Here is a 20,261-nt window from a genome sequence, read left to right on the forward strand (position 1 = left end):
TACTTCCCAGTATACCAGGGAAGAAGTGTCTGAGGATGATAATTGTGTTGCAGGCCTAAAAAGCATCCCGTCCAAGTTGAAACTGATCTCAATTCCAGGCTCTAAAACCACATATTCAACAACCAGCTGTGCAACCGGTGCAGACATCTCAAACTCCTAAATTGACCGCATCTTCCCTTTTTCTGAAAACTGCCTCCTCTTCTACTCTATCTGTCCCACTTAAGGATCCCACCATTATCCAGTCACCCAAGCCAGAAACTTGGGAGTTAAGTCACCCCTGTGTATACTCAGGGGATTTGTTCTAGGACCCCTCCACCTTCCCCACCCTGCCACTTATACCAAAATCCAAGCACACTCAAATCTGGCAGTCAGCCCTGCAGAGCCCATGTTTATACCATGGGTCATAGTATACAGCATGGGTTATAGCATGTTTATAGTATATACCTCTGTATATGCCGGTTTTGCATCCCAGGAATACTGCATTTTTTATGTGTTTGATTGAAAAAAATCTGCATGTTGGCCAGGTATGGTGGCTTATGCCTGTAATCCCAACACTTTGGGAGGCTGAGGCATGTGGATCGCTTGAGGTCAGGAGTTAGAGACTAGCCTGGCCAACATGGTGAAACCCCCATCTCTACTAAAAATACAAAAATTAGCTAGACGTGGTTGTGGGCACCTATAATCCCAGCTACATAGGAGGCTGAGGCAGGAGAATCGCTTGAACCCAGGAGGCAGAGGTTGCAGTGAGCTGAGAGTGCACCACTGCACTCCAGCCTGGGTGGCAGAGCAATCTAAAACAAACAAACATACAAAAAATCTGCATGTGTTGTTCAAGCACCAACTATTTTATTTTTATTTTATTTATGTATTCATTTACTTTTGAGACAGAGTCTCACTCTGTCACCCAGGCTGGAATGCAGTGGCATGATCTCGGCCCACTGCAAACTCTGCCTCCCAGGTTCAAGCAATTCTTGTACCTCAGCCTCCCAAGAAGCTGGGATTACAGGCACATGCCACCACGTTCCATCTAATTTTTTTTTTTTGTATTTTTAGTACAGATGGGGTTTCATCATGTTGACCAGGCTGGTCTTGAATTCCTGACCTCAAGTGATCCACCCGCCTCGGCCTCCAACAGTGCTGGTATTACAGGCGTGAGCCACCACCCCCAGCCAAAGAGCCAACTATTTTAGAAATGTTCTTTTCACTTTCCATATTCAGAAGGCCTCCAAGTCCCATCAGTTCTACTTTGACCACTTCTCCTTCTCTGCCATGGTCCTAGTTCAGGCCTTATTATCTCTCACCCAGATCTTTCAATTGTGTCTTACCTGGTTTTCTTCCCTGACTAGACTGGAATCTTTCCATTTCTCCTTCACACTGCCTCAGAGTCACCTTTCTAAAACATAAACCTGCCTGTAGTCCCTGCTACTTGGGAGGATGAGGCAGCAGGATCACTTGAGCCCAGGAGGCGGAGGTTGTAGTGAGCCAAGATTGTTCCATTGCACTCCAGCCTGGGCAACACAGCGAGACTCTGTCTTAAAAAATCAAATTAAATTTAAAAAATTAAATTTAAAAATTAAATAAAATAAAAAATTAATTAAAAAAATAAAATAAATGAAACATAAACCTGGTCTTGTCAATCTTCTGCATAAAACCATTCAATTAATGACTCTCCCGTCAGTTCAGAGGTGCCAGGGAGCATGAAAGGGGTTTTGTTCTTGACTGCTTTTTTAAAAAAATAAACTTTTAAAATCAGTTTTAAATTTACAGAATTATTGCAAGGATACTAAGAGAGTTCTCATATACGCCACAACAGTTTCCTCTATTACTGACATCTTACATTGTACGGTACATCTATCATAATAAATGGAGAAGTAGGTCTGGCCCAAATTGTGTGCCATTCAGAGAAGTTTGAACTCTAGCAGGTAATAGAGAGTCATGGAATTCTGTTTCTTAGTAGCCTGTTTCTGGTTTATGAGGACAGCAGTACCTTAAGCTTATCTAGCCCAATCTACCCTTCTACTTGAAATTCCCTTTAGATACAAAGTAGCCACCCAACCTGTGATTCAATGCCATCTATAAAACAAAGCTCACTGCCTTTTGAGAGAACGCACTTCAGCTACATGCAGTTCTTGTTAATGAGTTATTTTTATATGATTCTCAAATGTACATCTTCAGCACAAACTGATGTGTGTCCTCGTCTCTGGAACTACATTTTTTTTCCCTGCCAAATATTTTCACGTGGATGTCCCAAAGGCATTTCAAATTCAATGTACCTAAAGCAGGACTCATTAAGTTTCTCTTCAAAAATTTTCTCCTCCATTTCCTTTTTACCATCTGCCCAGACACTCAAGATAAAAATGTCACCGTCAGCTTCTACTCTTTCCTTTTTCTTGCTCCCTATTTGACTGAGTATAGTGAGTCTAGGAAACAAGGAATTTAAACATTCATATGGCTTCTATGATAACTGACAATTATCTTTAAATTGTCATTATTAAGTCATGGTGAATAGGAGTTCATACTATCTCCCCAAACTAACTAGGATGAATTCACAATTTTTAAAAAGGTATTAACAATTTTTAAGGCTGGGCATGTTGTTGGCTCATGCCTGTAATCCCAGCACTTTGGGAGGCTGAGGCAGGCAAATCACCTCAGGTCAAGAATTCGAGACCAGCCTGGCCAACATGGTAAAACCTCATCTCTACTAAAAATACAAAAATTAGCCAGGCGTGGGCCAGGCGCAGTGGCTCACACCTGTAATCTCAGCACTTTGGGAGGCTGAGGTGAGAGGATCACCTGAAGTCAAGAGTTCGAGACCAGCCTTACCAACATGGAGAAACCCCGTCTCTACTAAAAATACAAAATTAGCCGGGCGTGATGGTGCATGCCTGTAATCCCAGCTACTCGGGAGGCTGAGGCAGGAGAATTGCTTGAACCCAGGAGGCAAAGTTTGCAGTGAGCCGAGATTGCGCCATTGCACTCCAGCCTGGGCAACAAGAGTGAAACTCCGCCTCAAAAAAAAAAAAAAAAAATTAGCCAGGCGTGGTGGCATGCATCTGTAATCCCAGCTACATGGGAGGCTGAGGTAGGAGAATTGCTTGAACCCGGGAGGTGGAGGTTGCAGTGAGCAGAGATTGTGCTACTTTACTCCAGCCTGGGCAACAAGAGCCAGACTCAGACTCAAAAAAATAAAAAAAAAAAAGGTATTAACAATTTTAAAACCTCAAGGTGAGCTCAACAGTTAAAGAATATTAGGGAGGGCCAGGCGCAGTGGCTCATGCCTGTAATCCCAGCACTTTGGGAGGCCGAGGCAGGTGGATCACGAGGTCAGAAGATCGAGACCATCCTGGCTAACACGGTGAAACCCCGTCTCTATTAAAAACACAAAAAATTAGCCAGGCATGGTGGCGGGCTCCTGTAGTCCCAGCTACTCAGTAGGCTGAGGCAGGAGAATGTCGTGATCCCGGGAGGTGGAGCTTGCAGTGAGCTGAGATCCTGCCACTGCACTCCAGCCTGGGCGACAAGAGCATGACTCCGTCTCAAAAAAAAAAAAAAAAAAAAAAGAGTATTAGGGAGAAACTTACTTCTTATACATTTATTAAATACAAAGTATGATCCTAATCAAATAACTTAACAATTCTCTCTTTTTTTTTTTGAGACGGAGCCTCACTCTGTTGCCCAGGCTTGAGTGAAATGGCACAACCTTGGCTCACTGAAACCTCCACCTCCCAGGTTCAAGCGATTCTCCTGCCTCAGCCTCCCAAGTAGCTGGGATTACAGCTGCCCACCACCACACCTGGCTAATTTTTCTATTTTTTAGTAGAGGTGAGGTTTCATCATGTTGGTCAGGCTAGTCTCAAAGTCCCGACCTCAGGTGATCCACCAGCCTTAGCCTCCCCAAATGGTGGGATTACAGAAGTGAGCCACCTTGCCCAGCCTCAATTCACTTAATCTCATGAGATGTCATAAATCTTAGGTTTAGGGAAAATGACTACAAAAAATTTGCATTTGACTAATAAGAAGGGCTGTTTTCATGACTTGACTCTTCCTACTGAAGCCAGAAATTATGTTTCTGCTTCTCACAGTTCAATGGAAATAAATGACAGAAAAAAAAGTCTAAGTTTAATGGCATCAGGAACAAAAAGAGCTTTATAATAAAGAACAAATCACCTGGGCATGGTGGCTCCCACCTATACTACCAGCACTTCGGGAGCCAAAGGCAGGAGGATTGCTTGAGCCTAGGAGTTTGAGACAAACCTGGGCAATATAGTGAGACCACATCTCTACAAAAAAAAAATTTTTTTAAAGTAGCCAGGCATTGTGGCACACATCTGTGGTCCCAGCTACTTATGAGGCCGAGATAGGAGCATCACTTGAGCCTGGAAGGTTGAGGCTGTAGTAAGCCATGTTCAGGCCGTTATACTCCAGCCTGGGTGACAGAATGAGATCCTGTCTCAAAAAATTAAATTAAATTAAATTAAATTAAATTAAATAAATAACAAATCATTTTATGGAAATGTAATAGATTTAATTTCTCTTTGTTTTAATAAATATTCATTTTTAACATTATTAAGTTTACTTGCAAAAGTAATTAAAACTATTTCTGGTACCATCACAAGAATTGAAAATTGCCTGGAAATAGAACAATATATGTTAATTAATTTCTTTGGTGAAAGTTTAGAATGAGTAACAAAGGATATTTAATAATGGAACTAATGAAAATATTTCTCCATTTATCTCTCAGCAATAACCAAAAATATAAATCACTGGGAAGGCTACACAGCTGTTTTGTTACATGATTATCTTTTTTTGTTGTTGTTTTAATTTATAACTATTTTCTTTTTTTCATGTATTAGTTGTTATAAGTAACACTGCATGATTTCAATTATCTGGTTTTATTTAGCATGCTTATTAGAAAATGAAGGAAACTGGAATTTCCAAATGATTGAGATTAACAAATGGAAAGCTGGAGAAACTAGACAAAGGGAATCAAGGAAATTACCATCAGGATTTCAAGTATGAGGAGACATAAGGCTAACTTGGATCTTTCAGGAGAAAATTTCAAGAACATATATTTTAATCAGGATCCTAGGTCCCCAACTTAACGTTTTAACTAAATTATCTCTCCCAGTTTCTATGTATATTTCTTGGGCATTTTGCTGGGGGGCAGCTGAGGCAGGGAGGGAAATGTGGTCTTCCACTTCTTCCTCCTTTTTACTTTCTGACCCCAGAAATCCAAAGGTGTTTGTAGGGTTATGAAAAAGAAGTAGTTTTTATTCCCTAACATTTCAAAAGGCCGAGGGAGATAGCTATTGAGGAGCACATTACTATTCTAAAGGGATACGTGATGTCATAGGAGAGCCTTAGCCTCTAAGAGTGGATGCAACATCTCAAAAGGGCCCCCATTCCCAGCTTTCGAAAGAGACCAAGAACTGTGTGTGCTACCTCCCAAGCATGCCAGGCCCTTAGGTCAAACATCTCCCAAATGTTGCATTAATTCCTTCTGTTTACAGTGTCTAACTATAGTTTTTTTTCCTCATCCTTTGACATTTGAAAATCATAAATTTTCCTTAAGGCATTCAAGCTTGTAATCAAAATAATTATCTCTCAACATATGAGATCCTAAAACACCAAACCCTAGCTTTGTAATTTAGTAATCTGGACTTAAACGGTTTTACTAAATTGTTTGAGGCAGATAAATAATATATGCCTTTCTTTCTAACTTCAAGCCACCAGCAATATTTGAGCCTTTTCCATGGGACTGGTATTGCTTTATATTATAATTATTTGTGGTTTTAATCATTGGATTATAAGCTCTCTTGAGGGAAGGAGCCATGCCTTATTCACCCTTGCATCCTTCTACATCTAGCTCTGAACCTTGCCCATAATAAGAATTTATGGCTGGGCACCGTGGCTCACACCTATAATCCCAGGTGTGATGATGAAACCCCGTCTCTACTAAAGATGCAAAAAAAATAGCTGGGCATGGTGGCGGGCGCCCGTGGAAGGCACCCGTGGAGGCTGAGGCAGGAGAATCGCTTGAACCTGGGAGGTGGAGGCTGTGGTCAGCCAAGATCACGCCACTGCATTCCAACCTGGGCAACACAGCATAGACTAGATGATTAGATAGATAGATAGATAGATAGATAGATAGATAGATAGATAGATAGATAGATAGATAGACAGATAGAATTCATGGCCGGGTGGCTCATGCCTGTAATCCCAGCACTTCGGGAGGCCGAAGCAAGCAGCTTGCTTGAAGCCCAGGAGTTTGAGACCAACCTGACCAACATGATGAAACCCCGACTCTACAAAAAAAATACCAAAAAAAAAAAAAAAGATTAGCCAAGTGTTCTACTACTGCAGTTTCGCTACTCAGGAGGCTGAGGTGGAAGGATCACCTGAGCCTCAGGAGGTTGAAGCTAAAGTGAAGCTGAGATGGTACCACTGCACTCCAGTCTGGGTGACAGAGCAAGCCCTGTCTCATGTTTTTGGTTTTTTTGGTTTTTTGTTTGTTTGTTTTGAGACAGGGTCTCGCTCTGTCACCTGGGCTGAAGTGTCATGGTGCAGTCATAGCTCACTGTAACATTGAACTTCTGGGCTCAAGCAATCCTCCCGCCTCAGTCTCTCAAGTAGTGGGGACTACAGGTGCACACCACTACGCCCAGCTAATTTTTTATTTTTATTTTTGGTTTTTGTGTTATTTGCTAAGAATTCCTGCATTTAAGAAATGATCATGTGATAGAGATATGCATGTGGTAACATATTGAATGCTTTAAGATTCCTAAATACAATTAAATCTCAGTGACAAAGCAGAAAATGTTATCATCTCCTTCTAAGTACCCATCTCAGTTACACTCTTGGCAGCTTCTGACAAGAGATACTGAATCTAAACCCCTGTGCCTTTTTTCTTTCATCATATTCCCTCAAGACTTTTATTACTTCCTCCAGTTTATATCACCATTATTCTCACCAGCCTACCTCTTTCTATTTTATGCTCTTGCTTCTAATTCTCCTATTGCTCTGTTGTCTCCCCATGAGCACCTCCTGATCCAGCACCTGTGTAGCTCAGGCTGCTTTGGGTGGTGGAGAGGTGGGTTTGGATGTTCTATCTAGTAACATTCTTCTATATACTCTTCCCACTATCAAGCCCTCTTTGGACAAAAGTCATCAAAATACACTTTTTTTTTTTTTTTTTTTTTTTTTTTTTTTGAGACGGAGTCTCGCTCTGTTGCCCAGGCTGGAGTGCAGTGGCGTGATCTCAGCTCACTGTGACCTCCACTTCCCGGGTTCAAGTGATTCTCCTGCCTCAGCCTCCCGACAAAATACACTTCTTAAAAACAGATGAGAATTCTACCAACAGAACCAGGACATTTTTTCCTATTTGAATTAGCCACATTATTTTTCTTCTTCTTTTTTACAGGCCCAATTGATGTACAAAAGTTAGTCAATTTCTTCAGTAAACATTAAGCCTGCTATGTTTATCAATGACCTTCCATCACCTACAGGATAAAAACCAGACTCTTTAGCATTATTTGGCCCTTCCTTAATTGTCCAGTTCCTCTCCTGCTTCTCCCCATTCTTATTTTGTATCTATCCACACTAAAATGGTCATGCCTTTGCACATGTGGTTTCTTCTGCCTAGAGCACAGCCTCCTGTGTCTGCCCAGGGAGTCCCTGCTTAGTTTTCAGGATCCAGATTAAGTGTCATCTCTTCTATTAATGCTCCCTTATCCCCGACAACTGATAGAAGTAGGGTGAACCTCTCTCTCCTCCGATGGCACCAGGATGGCTTCCATTATGGTTATTATCATGCTATTTTCTGTTTTCATTACCATCTTTCCCACTAGGGTACAAGATCCTTGAAGGTTACTACACCTTGTTGATCCTTTGTTCCCAAAGTGTAATATCATTTCTGCCACATGATAGCCATATGATACAACTGAATGAATGAACGAATGGACAAACAATATTTCATCTACCTGACAGTTCTCAGAATTACCTAGCACTCAGAGAGAACATCATTGTATTCTAGAGGCTGACAGAAGGACTACTAGCCTGTGCTTCTCCTTTAAAAAGTCCCAATAATATAGCATTTTCCCAGTGTTATTGGTTTTCATTGTATTGTTTATAATTACCCTTAGATAGGGCCTAACTTAGCTACTAATATGCCCTATTGCTAAATTCATCAGCCATGTTTTCTTAGTTATGTCTGCCTCTGACTTATACCTAAGTTCAGCAGTGTTTTTGAAGGGTACAAAAGGACAATTCCTGCTATTCTATCATAACTGCCTAACTATTCAGACAAGTTCTGCTGATGATCTAAAAATGATTTCCACCTATTCCTTTTAAGGGAGGAAGGACAAAGCAAGCCCAGTAATAAATGATACACAATAGGTCTTCCCCTCAGGCAAATGCACTTTTAGAAGTTGAGTTTATTATAGAAAACTTAATAGAACTTGGCCAGTCATGGTGGCTCACACCTGTAATCCCAGCACTTTGGGAGGCCGAGGCAGGCAGATCACCTGAGGTCAGGAGTTTGACACCAGCCTGACCAACATGGAGAAACCCTGTTTCTAATAAAAATACAAAATTAGCTGGGCATGGTGGCACATGCCTGTAATCCCAGCTACTCAGGAGGCTGAGGCAGGAGAATCGCTTGAACCCAGGAGGTAGAGGTTGCAGTGAGCCAAGATTGCACCACCGCACTCCAGCCTGGGAGACAAAAGTGAAACTCCGTCTCAAATAAAAAAAAAAAAAAAAAGAAAGAAAAAAGAAAAAAATAAAGAAAAGAAAACTTAATAGAACTGAATCAATAAGTACCAACATTCATTCTCTTCTTCTGAGAACAGGTTGCAATTCACAGGAAGGAAGTTGAAGAATTAAAAAATGCTATTCATGAACTGGAAGCAGAAAATTTGGTGCTTATTGATCAACTATCCAACTGTAGACTTGTGGATCTCAAGATACCCAGGTGAAAATTGTTAATATATAGAGAGTATTTTGTAAACATTTGTATCTGCTGTAAAAAGTTGTTTTTTTAAAACAAAAAAAGATGATTTAATTATTCAGTGCTCCAGCAGTAGTCAAAAAGAAAGGGACAAAAAAAATGCTCATGGTGAAGGTATAGGATTATTACTATTGACCATTGGTACAATGTAAAGTTTGGCTTGTTTTATCTTGCAATGAACTGTAGTCACAATAGCCAGCACATAACATGAACATCATAACTGCCAACATTCAGGAGCCTCCAGACCAGCAGGGGTAATGGTCATGAAAATAAGTACATAACAGTACGGCAGAAGATAGAGGAGGTAGAGAGTTAGCACAGAGGAGGAGGTGATCCACTTGCTGGAAGTTTCATGGAGGTGATCTGGGCTCCTGTGGATTGTAGAATTATTTCTTTCGGTTGAAAGAGTCAAAACTACTCTGTAGGCCGAGAAAAGGGCTTGGCATTCCAAGTCATATTTGTTCTTGCATACAAGAAACCAAGTGGTGCATATACCTTTATATGTTTGGTTAGCTGTCTTCCTTATCTGACAAAAAAAAAAGTCTTAATATATTTATCCTGACAGAAACCTAGGGCCCTTGAATATAAAATTAAAATTCAAAATGGCACTCATAATTTAGACAAGTAGTCAAAACCAAAAAATAATCTAAATAGTAGCATGTTTAGGAAGAGAGGGGAAGTCACACAAATGTAGGGTGCATGTGTGCAAGTATGGGAGAGAAATGTCTAGGTCTAGGAATTAAAGCAGATGTTAAGTTGAACCTGGTGGAATAGCCAGGAAAAACTTTCCACACAAGTAGTTCCTATTGTTTGTGTGACATGGAAGACTACTATTTGAGACATGATCATGTATTTGTTATGTATAAACTTTCTATTGTTTTCCAGGAAAGGTGGATACAGGTAAATTATGGGTTCCCTGTTTGCTAGGCTAAATGATGGGTGTCAGGATACAAGATTAGAGAAATTGGGAGATAAGCTGGGTGGGGCAGGATAGAGAAAGAGGCCATCTGCCCCCTTTGCATTATTACTTTGTGTGCTTCAGAGAGAGTAGATACCAATATAGATGAGGTGAGGCTGAATGAGGATTGATTACTGAACTCCTGTACTTCCAGTCTCTTGAGCTGATGCCCTAGAGGGCCCCTAGGGGTAGGTGCTCACTGTTGCCCAGTAGGCAATGCTCACTTTTGCCAGCCCTCCTCTCTGTGATCAGGTATCCAGTGCTACATTCCTGTCCCACCTCTAATCCTCGTCATCTGCTGCTGCTGCCTTTGGAATCATGTCTAATCTCTGCCAGGCGTTGCTGGTATGTGGCTTCTAACTACCTACTGCTATAGCTGCTGTCCACTGCCCTCTTTTCTGAACTGGCTAATCTTTAGGAAAGAGATACCCTCTAAACTGCCAGACCCGTGTCTCTACCTGGATCAACTCAGTCTGGTATATTTGATTTTGTTCTGACATGGTTGTAAAGTGCTAATAATTCTAAAAAAGGGAATTATTTCATTGGCCAAAGGGGACTTGGCAAGAACAGAATGGGAGACTGAGAAACTTTTAATGGGGATTTTCATTGAGTTGTTTACTGTGCAGTATATAATCTAACGTCATCCTCGCTCTTCCCTATAAAAATCTTCTGTAAAATCCACACTGTTCATCAGTGCTTTAGGGGCTGGTTTTCCTGAGAGTAATAGAATGCTTAGTCTAGCTTCAGAGTTGGAAGAAATGAAGTCAAAATATTTTCAAGGGAAAAGAAACACCATGGGTGACATTTATAGGAACTGATATATGTGTCCTTGCTATATGCTCCCACAACACCCTGAACTTTTCCTTTGTAACCAACCTTTATCACACTTTTGATTACTTATTTAATGTCTGCTGCTTTACTAGATTGTAAACTCCTTGAGGCAACTGTTTTGGACACTTTAGAAAGACCTGCATAAAGAAACTGGAAAATTTGAAAGCCCTCAATTATCTGCTAGACTTCTTATGCAGAAAGATAACCTGAAGGATGTTCAGGAGATTTTACTGTACCCATTTCCAAGCCAAAGGAATATTACACATATTATATCTTTTTGGTAACTTCCCCCTCCATCTCTTTGTTGAGAATTAAGTTTTGTAAAATACTAGTAGGGTGATAAGAAATAGACATGAACTGTCTCCAGTGGACACAGAAGAAGTTCTATTTCCCTATTTGGATGAGGAATGGGATATTGTGGTTAATAGAGTTACCACATTTCCTATGTAGTTACTCAAACTTTTTCCCATCTCAACTCACATAGAATGTCATAGGATTTGTTTGACACATTGGGGCAAACAGATGAGGAAACTGTCAGCCAGAGGTGACTGCCCAGGACTCCAGTGCCACAGGGCTGAGGCTAAGTGGGCCAACACCTACAAATCTAACACTAACTTACCATAATAACATCTTTTAAACTATTTTCCATATCATTAAGTATCAAGTGTTGTTACCCTGTAGTAGTACAGAAGTAACAGTAAACTAGCAATTAATAGAAAAAGCTAGATTCCTGAAGGTTATGGCATTTAGAAAGATCTTAATTGTTCACAATGGTAAAACTAGGAAACAAAAGAATTCTATAGCCTCAGACATGTCTCCCTGAAGACCACAGCTACATGTGAAACTTACGTTTACTAAGGTACCTTTACTAAACTTACCTTAACTAAAGTTAAGTTTTTAGAAGTTTTCATAGGTGTAAATATTGTATGTAGTTACAGTATTTGCTGGAGCCATTAGCATCTGGATAACACTTTATTCATGTTCTTTAAATAACTCACAGCCCCTAATTTAGGGGATTCACTTTACTTGCTTAGCTGCTAAGCGTGAAGGGTTGTTTGCACATTTGCAAGCGTTCAATTACTTCATGCTGTCTTCAGGTAAACCTCATGGAAATGCCATACAGAGTTTTCAAAGCATGATATTTTCTGATTGAAAATTCAGTGGACACTCTAAAAAGGAGAGCACAGAATTAAACAATGTAGAGAGAGCTACAACAGCATATGGACATCAGTTCGCTGGGCTTGTAGGTGAAGCATACCACTAAGCAAAAGCCAGGACCTAGATGGTATCTTGGATTCCTACTGTTCGCTTTCTCTTTCTCTCTTCATCTCAAAACGAAAACCACTCAAAAGTGGTCTTTCAGGACACTATCATTCCGCACCTGAAATACTACAACAGCGACCTGACTAGTGCCATGCTCACTCTCAATTTTTTGAACTTTAAGTGTGTTATTTCCTTATTTGGAATGCCCTTCTTTCACCCCTAGCTCTTCCCTGGCAACCACCTCCAGGTTCAAGACTGTATTAGTCCATTCTCATGCTGCTATAAAAAACTGCCCGAGACTGGGTAATTTAGAAAAGAAAGAGGTTTAAGTGACTCACAGTTCCACCAGGCTGGGGAGGACTCAGGAAACTTAGATTCATGGCAGAAGGGGAAGCAAACATGACCTTCTTCACATGGCAGCAGGAAGAAGTGCAGAGCGAAGGTTGGAGAAAAGCCCCTTATAAATTATCAGATCTCATGGGAACTCACTAACACGAGAACAGCATGGAGGTAACCGCTCCCATAATTCAATTACTTCCCACTGGGTCCCTCTCCCACAACATATGGGGATTATGGGAACTACAGTTCAAGATGGGATTTGGGTGGGGCCCAGCTAAACTGTATCAAAGACTAAGATCAGGTTTCATCCAGGAAAACTTTCCTTCCCCCTAAAGCTGACTCAGGTGCTGCTTCTTTCTGCATCCCATTATTCTCACACTATGGTAATTACCCATCATGGTACACACCATGACTTTAAAATACCGTAAGGCTGTCTGCCACCCCACTGGGCTTTATGCTCCTCAGGGTAGAAATTATGTCTCATTTTTCATCTATGCATTTCTAGCACCTAGTAGAGAGATAGACCCTAGTAAGCATGCAATGCAATATTTATTGACTGACAGATTGTTTTTCTCATTTGTTCTTTTAGGCGACTATATCTTACCCAAGCTGCTGGACTAGAAGTGCCACCTGAAGAAATGTCTTTGGAATTGCCAGAAACACATATAGGTATTACTTTATTGCAATAATGATGATGATTTTTTTCAAACTCTTGTTTTTCAATTTAAAAAACACTTACCTATTGTGAGCAGGTGCCCCACATACAAAAGCTATTCAGAGAATAGACACCTGCCAGCTTCTCTAAATTTCTCCTCTTGCAGTGCTTGTCCTAATCTATCTCCTGTCTGTAGTCCCACTTTCAAATTAAGGTCACCATGTTTCACAGTAAATTAAATAAATACTGGTGAAGAGGGATGAGACTGCTGTCTACACTGGCAAGGTTTAGGGCCCTATTTAGCCAACCAAAATGACAACATATACTTAGGCACCAATATAATTACTATAACTTATTAGCTAACAGAAAGAAATACAACTTAGAGTTTCTACAAATGGGACTCCCTCTTACTTTAATACATAAATTCTACATTTGCAATTCTCAAAGTTCCATCCAATTAAAAATGTGACAAAGTATGTATTGCATTTTTATTTGTATATGTTCAAAATGTATACATAATTAATTCCTTTGTATTTATCCAAGAAGAGAAGTCAGAATTGCAACCCACAGAAGTAGAAAGTAGAGACTTGATGTCCTCATCAGATGAGAGCACTATCTTACATCTTAGTCATGAAAATAGCATCGAAGATCTCCAGTATGTGAAGATAGATAAAGAGGAAAACTCAGGCACAGAGTTTGGGGACACTGATATGAAGTACTTACTATATGAGGATGAGAAGGATTTCAAGGTAAGATTCATAACAACACAACTTTGACTACTAAGAAAATGCTGTTTTGAGAAATGCTGTTTTAATTGAGAAAATTAACCTAAAATATGGATATTGAAAATTCCATTTGCAATTATTAGTAAAATTGGCCCACCATTCACATCTCTCATTTGGATACCATTTTCACTCCTACTCTTGCCCAATTTGCTACCTATATTCCTCTATAGGCCTCCATTAATAGTATACAAAGTAAGTTATCTAATGCTACATAACAATCCCCAAAACCTAGTGGCTTATAACAATAACTATTTATTCTCGCTTAGGGCTCTGTTGGTTAGAAATTCAGGAAGGGCTCCACTAGACAGTTCTCACTTGGTGGACTCTCAGTCAGTTGCAACCATATGTTGGCTAGGGCTGCACTCATCTGAAGGCTTGATCGGGGCAGGAGTCTTCATTTCCAAGGTGGTTTATATGGCTAGCATGTTGATGCTGGCTAAACTGAGGGCCTCACTTCTTCTTCACATGTGCCTCCTGACAGGGTGTTTTGAATTTCTTTTGTTATAGTGTCTGTCTTCTCCCAAAACAAGCAACCCTAGAGACCAAGATAAAAGCAGCAATTTGGCTGCAGTGGCTCATGCCTGTAACCCCAGCACTTTGGGAAGCTGAGGTGGGCGGATCACCTGAGATCGGAAATTTGAGACCAGCCTGGCCAACACGGTGAAACCCTATCTCTACTAAATATACCAAAAATAGCTGGGCATGGTGGTGCGTGCCTGTAATCCCAGCTAGTTGACAGGCTGAGGCAGGAGAATTGCCTGAACCTGGGAAGCAGAGGTTGCAGTGAGCAGAGACTGTATCATTGCACTCCAGCCTGGGTGACAGAGCGAGACTCTGAAAAGAAAGAAAGAAAAAAGAAAAAGAAAGAGAGAGAGAGAGAGAGAGAGAGAGAGAGAGAGAAAGAAAGAAAGAAAGAAAGAAAGAGAAAGAAAGAAAGAAGGAAAGAAAGAAAGAAAGAAAGAAAAGAAAGAAAGAGGGAAGGAGGAAAGGAAGGAAGGAAGGAAGGAAAGAAGGAAGGAAAGAAAGAAAGAAAAGAAAGAAGGCAGTTTTATATGGCTTAGCCTTGGAAATCATACATTGTCACTTCCATCATATTCTACTGGTTGATGTAGTTACAAAGTTCCATCCAAGGGGAAGGAACATAGCTCCTACATCTTGATGGAGGAAGGTCAGTATCACATTGTAAGAGAAGCACTTGGGATAGGATATGAATTAGGCTATCTTTGGAAAGTACAGATTGCACATATACCATTCATTAAAACCTGGAGTATTAAGCCTTTTAATTTTGAAACTTCTTTCTAGTACATTCCAGTTACTCCCACAGCCATCCCTTGTTATTTTCCCTCTTGATACTTTAAAAGTTCTCCTAGAATTTGATGTCTGGTAGTGGAAAAAATGATGTAAGAAAGCAGAAGAAACTGAATAAACCAACACAAACCATTTTAACTAACTACAATTCAATCCTGCTGCCATCAAGCGATGATTTAAAGACTAAAGTTCTAGTTCCTCTAGCACTGAAACATCTCCATGCGTATCTTGGAATCATGACTCCTGGGATGTCATGATGATCTCAGGCTAGTGGACAGTTGTCTACAAAATCCCCAAATAGCATACCATTTGGTTGAATGAAAGACTTACTTTCCATGAAAGTTTTTGATGTAGTCAAACTGCCATGGCCATGGTGTATTACTTGAGAATCCTCCTCCCAGTGATTCTGAAATATGTGGTAGGTCTCCATCAACTTGCTTTTCTACTATCTTACATTTATCACAGCTACATATTTTGAAAGCTAAATAGAATTATATGTATTTTGAGAAATAAGACATCACCTTCCTTTTTCATTCTTTGATTCTTCTAAATTCAAATAAATATTTATTGAGAACCCCACAACATGCCAGGTCCTTGTTAAATGCTTGTGCATTTAAGGGAGAGAACAGCAAGAAATGAAATCTCAAATATGCCTATACAGCAGGCCTTGCCCCCAAATCACTTACAGACTTGTAGAAGACAGGTAAGAAAATCAACAAGTACCATATAAGAGTAAACAGACCACCTGTACCTGTGTCCCTGATCAGTCTGTGCTTATCATTGCACCCCAGCACTTGATATAGGGCCTGGCATACAGTGAACACTTGGGAAAGGTTTGCTAAAGTGACGTGTCAAAGGAATTAAAAAGCAAGAGTTATGGCATGGGAGACTTCCTGGAGGAAGGGACATTGGGTAGGGCGTGAGCTCTGTCCACCCAGTTTTGGGTTGGCTATGGATTTCATATCAGTTAGACTTCAAATTCTGTTTGTTGATATCTTAGATTTGTAAACCAAAAGCTATCTGAGACAGGTCTCAATCAATTTAGAAGTTGATTTTGCCAATGTTAAGGACAGTACCTGGGAGAAAAAAAACCCACAAAATCACAGAAATAGTGTGTGGTCTGTGCCTGTCTCCAAAGATGACTTGGAGGCCTTCAATATTTAAAGGAGAAAAGTGGGCTGGAGGGGAAAGCAGGAAGGTATGGTCATCCACATGTTGCAAGAGAAAAGGAGCAGGTAGGGGAACAGTCAATTATGTATTCACCTCGCACTTTACAAAAGATCAGCTGAACATAGAGTAGCTACCTGTGGGGATATTTAACCTTTTATCTGTACATATCTGCTTAGGAACAAAAGCAAAGGCAGTTGCTTACATGACTCAGCTTTCAGCTTAATTTTTTCCTTTTGGCAAAGTGAATTGGGGTCCCATGTTTTTATTTTCCTTTCACAGACTATAGTTAGTTTTGCACTAACTATAGCCAGCATCCCTCCCCCATTAACCCACTATGAGACAAGCCTTCCAGCCTTGCTGCCTGCTTTTGGAAGATCTTGCCTACTGTGTATGCCCTACTGGGTATATAAGTTTCCTGAGTATTTTGTTTTTTTCCCATTTATAGTGGCTCTCATATTTCATGTGCTACACAGCATCAGGCAATTAGGGGGCAATGAAGTCTGTCAGATAAAGGCCAACTGTAATAAAGAAAGCCTAATCTATCAAGCTGGTAATTTGCTGAATCACCTCTCCTATTCTTTTTTGTGCCTGTTCACCATAGGATTATGTAAACTTGGGCCCCCTGGGAGTGAAGCTTATGAGTGTGGAGAGCAAGAAAATGCCCATTCATTTTCAAGAGAAGGAAATTCCAGTCAAACTCTATAAAGATGTCAGGAGCCCAGAAAGCCACATCACATATAAGATGATGAAGTCTTTTCTCTAAGACGGAAAGCTGCAAAGGAAACACAACTTTTCCTTATAAATGTTCTTTGGGAACTGAAGTATATCCGTTGCCCATTTTACTTACACTTTGGCTCATTTTTAAACCAGCTGTTATTTCTAAAGGTCATATTTACATTTAAAATCAAAGGTATTCAGCTATTCATTTACTTGCATGGTATGAGTGACCAAAACGGAAGCACGCTTTGTATTTCTACACTGAAGTATTCAGAAGCATGACAGTGGGTTCAAGGTAGTCTCTGAGGTTCCTTTTCACACACAAAAAATTCACTGATTAATCTGTGATTCCAGTATGAAATAGTTCCATTAGAAATGTTTCTAAGAAAAACTTAGAAGTTTGCATAGCATTGTCTACACATCTTTCCCTCTGAGGATGCTCAATGTGATAGACAGCCAGTCTATAATGCAAGCCAATTCTCCGTAGTTTAACCCTGTGTATTAGTCTGTTCTCATGCTGCTAATAAAGACATAATTGAAACTGGGTAATTTATAAAGGAGGTTTAATTTATTTACAGTTCAACATGGCTGGGGAGGCCTCACAATCATGTCAGAAGGCAAATGAGGAGCAAAGTCACATCATACATGGTGGCAGGAAAGAGAGGGCTTGTGTAGGGGAATTCCCATTTATAAAACTATCAGATCTTGTGAGACTTATTTACTACTTCAAGAACAGTATGGGAAAAACCTGCCTCCATGATTCAATTACCTCCTACCAGGTCCCTCCCACAACACATGGGGATTATGGGAACTATAATTCAAGATGAGATTTGGGTGGGGACATAGCCAAACCATATCACCCTGTTTATAATGAATATAAAAAATGAATGTTGGAAATAAACTTGAGAGTGTTAATTTGTTGTATAAAAATATTCCACTGATAGGGAGCACTCCCTCCCTCCAGCTGTATCTAGTCTAAACTACCACATTCCTATCCAAAGCAAATACCACTTCTCTCAGGGCTACCACAAGCCAAGGACACTGTGAGTACCTGGATGTGACATCAGCATTCCATTTGGATCCTTGAGACCAGATAATACCACCATATGTCATATTTCTGTAATCTTTAGTGATATAAGGATTAATTTAATCATCAGTGGGGGATGTTATTGGCATTTAAAGTAAGGACAATTGTGCAGCACTGTCTTGAGCCCACAGGATGTTAGCACTCCTGCTCCCTCAATCTCAAATGCTGCTACATTAACACTCTTCATTGTAGAAGTTGAAAACACTCGTCATCTTTCCCAACACCCCTTACATTGTAGTACCATCACCAATTGAACATCTTTGAGTTTCTCAATTTTTGGAGACAAGGACTCACTCTGTCACCCAGGCTAGAGTGCAGTGGCACTATCATAGCTCACAGCATCCTGAAACTCCTGGGCTCAAGCAATCCTCCTGCCTCAACCTCCCGAGTAGCTGGGACTGCAGGTCTGTACTATCATGCCTCAACCTCCAACAGTGCTAGGATTACAGGCATGAGCCACCGACCGGCCTCTCCTGTACTTTAATCTCCATTGTGTTCGGTGCTTTCCTGGACCCTTCCCATTCTCTCCCAAAACTTCCAACAACAACCTCTAAAAAAACAATAAACAAGACAAATGCCACTGTTGAAGGTGTAAATGTCCAAGGGGTTCACCTTGCCTGCTGCCTATACAGAGCCAATTCCTCAAGACAGGGGAGCCGGGCATGGTGGCTCACCCCTGTAATCCCAGCATTTTGGGAGGCCGAGGCGGGTAGATCACAAGGTCAGCAGATCAAGACCATCCTGTCAAGACCATCCTGGCTAACACGGTGAAACCCCTTCTCTACTAAAATTACAAAAAAATTAGCCAGGTGTGGTGGCAGGCGCCTGTAGTCCCAGCTACTTGGGAGGCTGAGGCAGGAGAATGGAGTGAACCCGGGAGGCGGAGGTTGCAGTGAGCCGAGATCGCACCACTGCACTCCAGCCTGGGCAACACAGCAAGACTCCGCCTCAAAAAAAAAAAAAAAAAAAAAAAAAAGAGGGGAATTGCAACAGACAAAAGAGTAATTCACACAGAGCCAGCTGTGCGGGAGACCAGCGTTGTTTTATTACTCAAATCATTCTCCCTTAGCATTCGGGGAGCAGAGTTTTTAAGGACAACATGGTAGATGTGGGGAAGCCAGTGAGCCGGGACTGCTGATTGGTCAGAGATGAAATCATAGGGAGCCAAAGCTGTCCTCCTGACCAAATCAGTTCCTAGATGGGGGGGCCACAAGATCAGATGAGCCAGTTTATCAATCTAGGTAGTGCCAGCTGATTCATGATGTGCAGGGTCTGCAAAATATCTCAAGCACTGATCTTAGGAGCAGTTTAGAGACAGTCAGAATCTTGTAGCCTCCAGCTGCATGACTCCCAAACCATAATTTCTAATCTTGTGGCTAATGTTAGTCCTACAAATGCAATCTACTCCCTAGGCAAGAAGGAAGACTGCTTTGGGAAAGGGCTGTTATCATCTTTGTTTTAAACTGTATACTAAGTTTTTCCCAAAGTTAGTTGACCCTCCGCCCAAGAATGAAAAGGACAGTTTGGAGATTAGAAGCAAGATGGAGTCAATTAAATTAGATCTCTTTCGCCGTCTTGGTCATAATTTTGCAAAGGCAGTTTCAAAGGTGTCTTTTCTTTTTGAGACAGGGTCTCACTGTCATCTAGGCTGGAGTGCAGCAGCATGATCATGGCTCACTGCAGCCTTAGCCTGCCAGGCTCAAGGGATCCTCTCACCTCACCCTCCCAAATAGCTGAGATCACAGAAGCACACCACCATGCCCAGCTAATTTTTTATTTTTTGTAGAGATGGTGTGGGGCGGCGGGGGGGGGGGAGGTCTTACCATGTGACCTAGGCTGGTCTTAAACTCCTGAGCTCAAGTGGTCTTCTTGGCTCAACTTCTCAAAGTGCTAGGATTATAGATGTGAACCGCCATGCCCAGCCTGTTGAAGGTTTCTTTTACTCTCTGGTTTTGACTGGCACCTGGCTTTCCCCAGAAAGAGCTCACTTCCCCTGTGGCTCTCTCTCTAGTGGTTGGTATTGATTCTTCTCTGCCACCACCTTCTGTGGGGCTACATGCTTTCACTAATGCAATGCCTCTTCTAGACCACAATTCCACCAGTCTCATGTAAAAACATGCCTTTTGAAGCTCAGTATATAT

At 41.0% G+C, this 20,261-nt stretch overlaps 1 protein-coding gene across 11 annotated transcripts in view; it reads left to right on the top strand.

Moving 5' to 3' along the window:
* Nucleotides 1-17,582, top strand: part of CCDC83 (coiled-coil domain containing 83) — a 64,948-nt gene extending 47,366 nt beyond the window's left edge. For 6 of the 11 annotated variants that reach the window (XM_011544839.3, NM_173556.5, XM_011544843.2 and 3 more), the window contains 5 exons: nucleotides 8,850-8,971; nucleotides 10,218-10,310; nucleotides 12,988-13,067; nucleotides 13,597-13,802; nucleotides 16,918-17,582. In XM_011544839.3, the coding sequence (XP_011543141.1) occupies nucleotides 8,850-8,971; nucleotides 10,218-10,310; nucleotides 12,988-13,067; nucleotides 13,597-13,802; nucleotides 16,918-17,079 (663 nt within the window). In that variant the 3' untranslated portion in view covers nucleotides 17,080-17,582. The remainder of the gene's footprint in view (nucleotides 1-8,849; nucleotides 8,972-10,217; nucleotides 10,311-12,987; nucleotides 13,068-13,596; nucleotides 13,803-16,917) is intronic. The other 5 variants (NM_001286159.2, XM_047426560.1, XM_017017354.2 and 2 more) reach the window with 3 other exon arrangements.
* Nucleotides 17,583-20,261: the final 2,679 nt, after the last annotated feature.

The sequence above is a fragment of the Homo sapiens genome, chromosome 11 (assembly GCF_000001405.40).
Source record: "Homo sapiens chromosome 11, GRCh38.p14 Primary Assembly".
Lineage (NCBI taxonomy): Eukaryota > Metazoa > Chordata > Mammalia > Primates > Hominidae > Homo > Homo sapiens.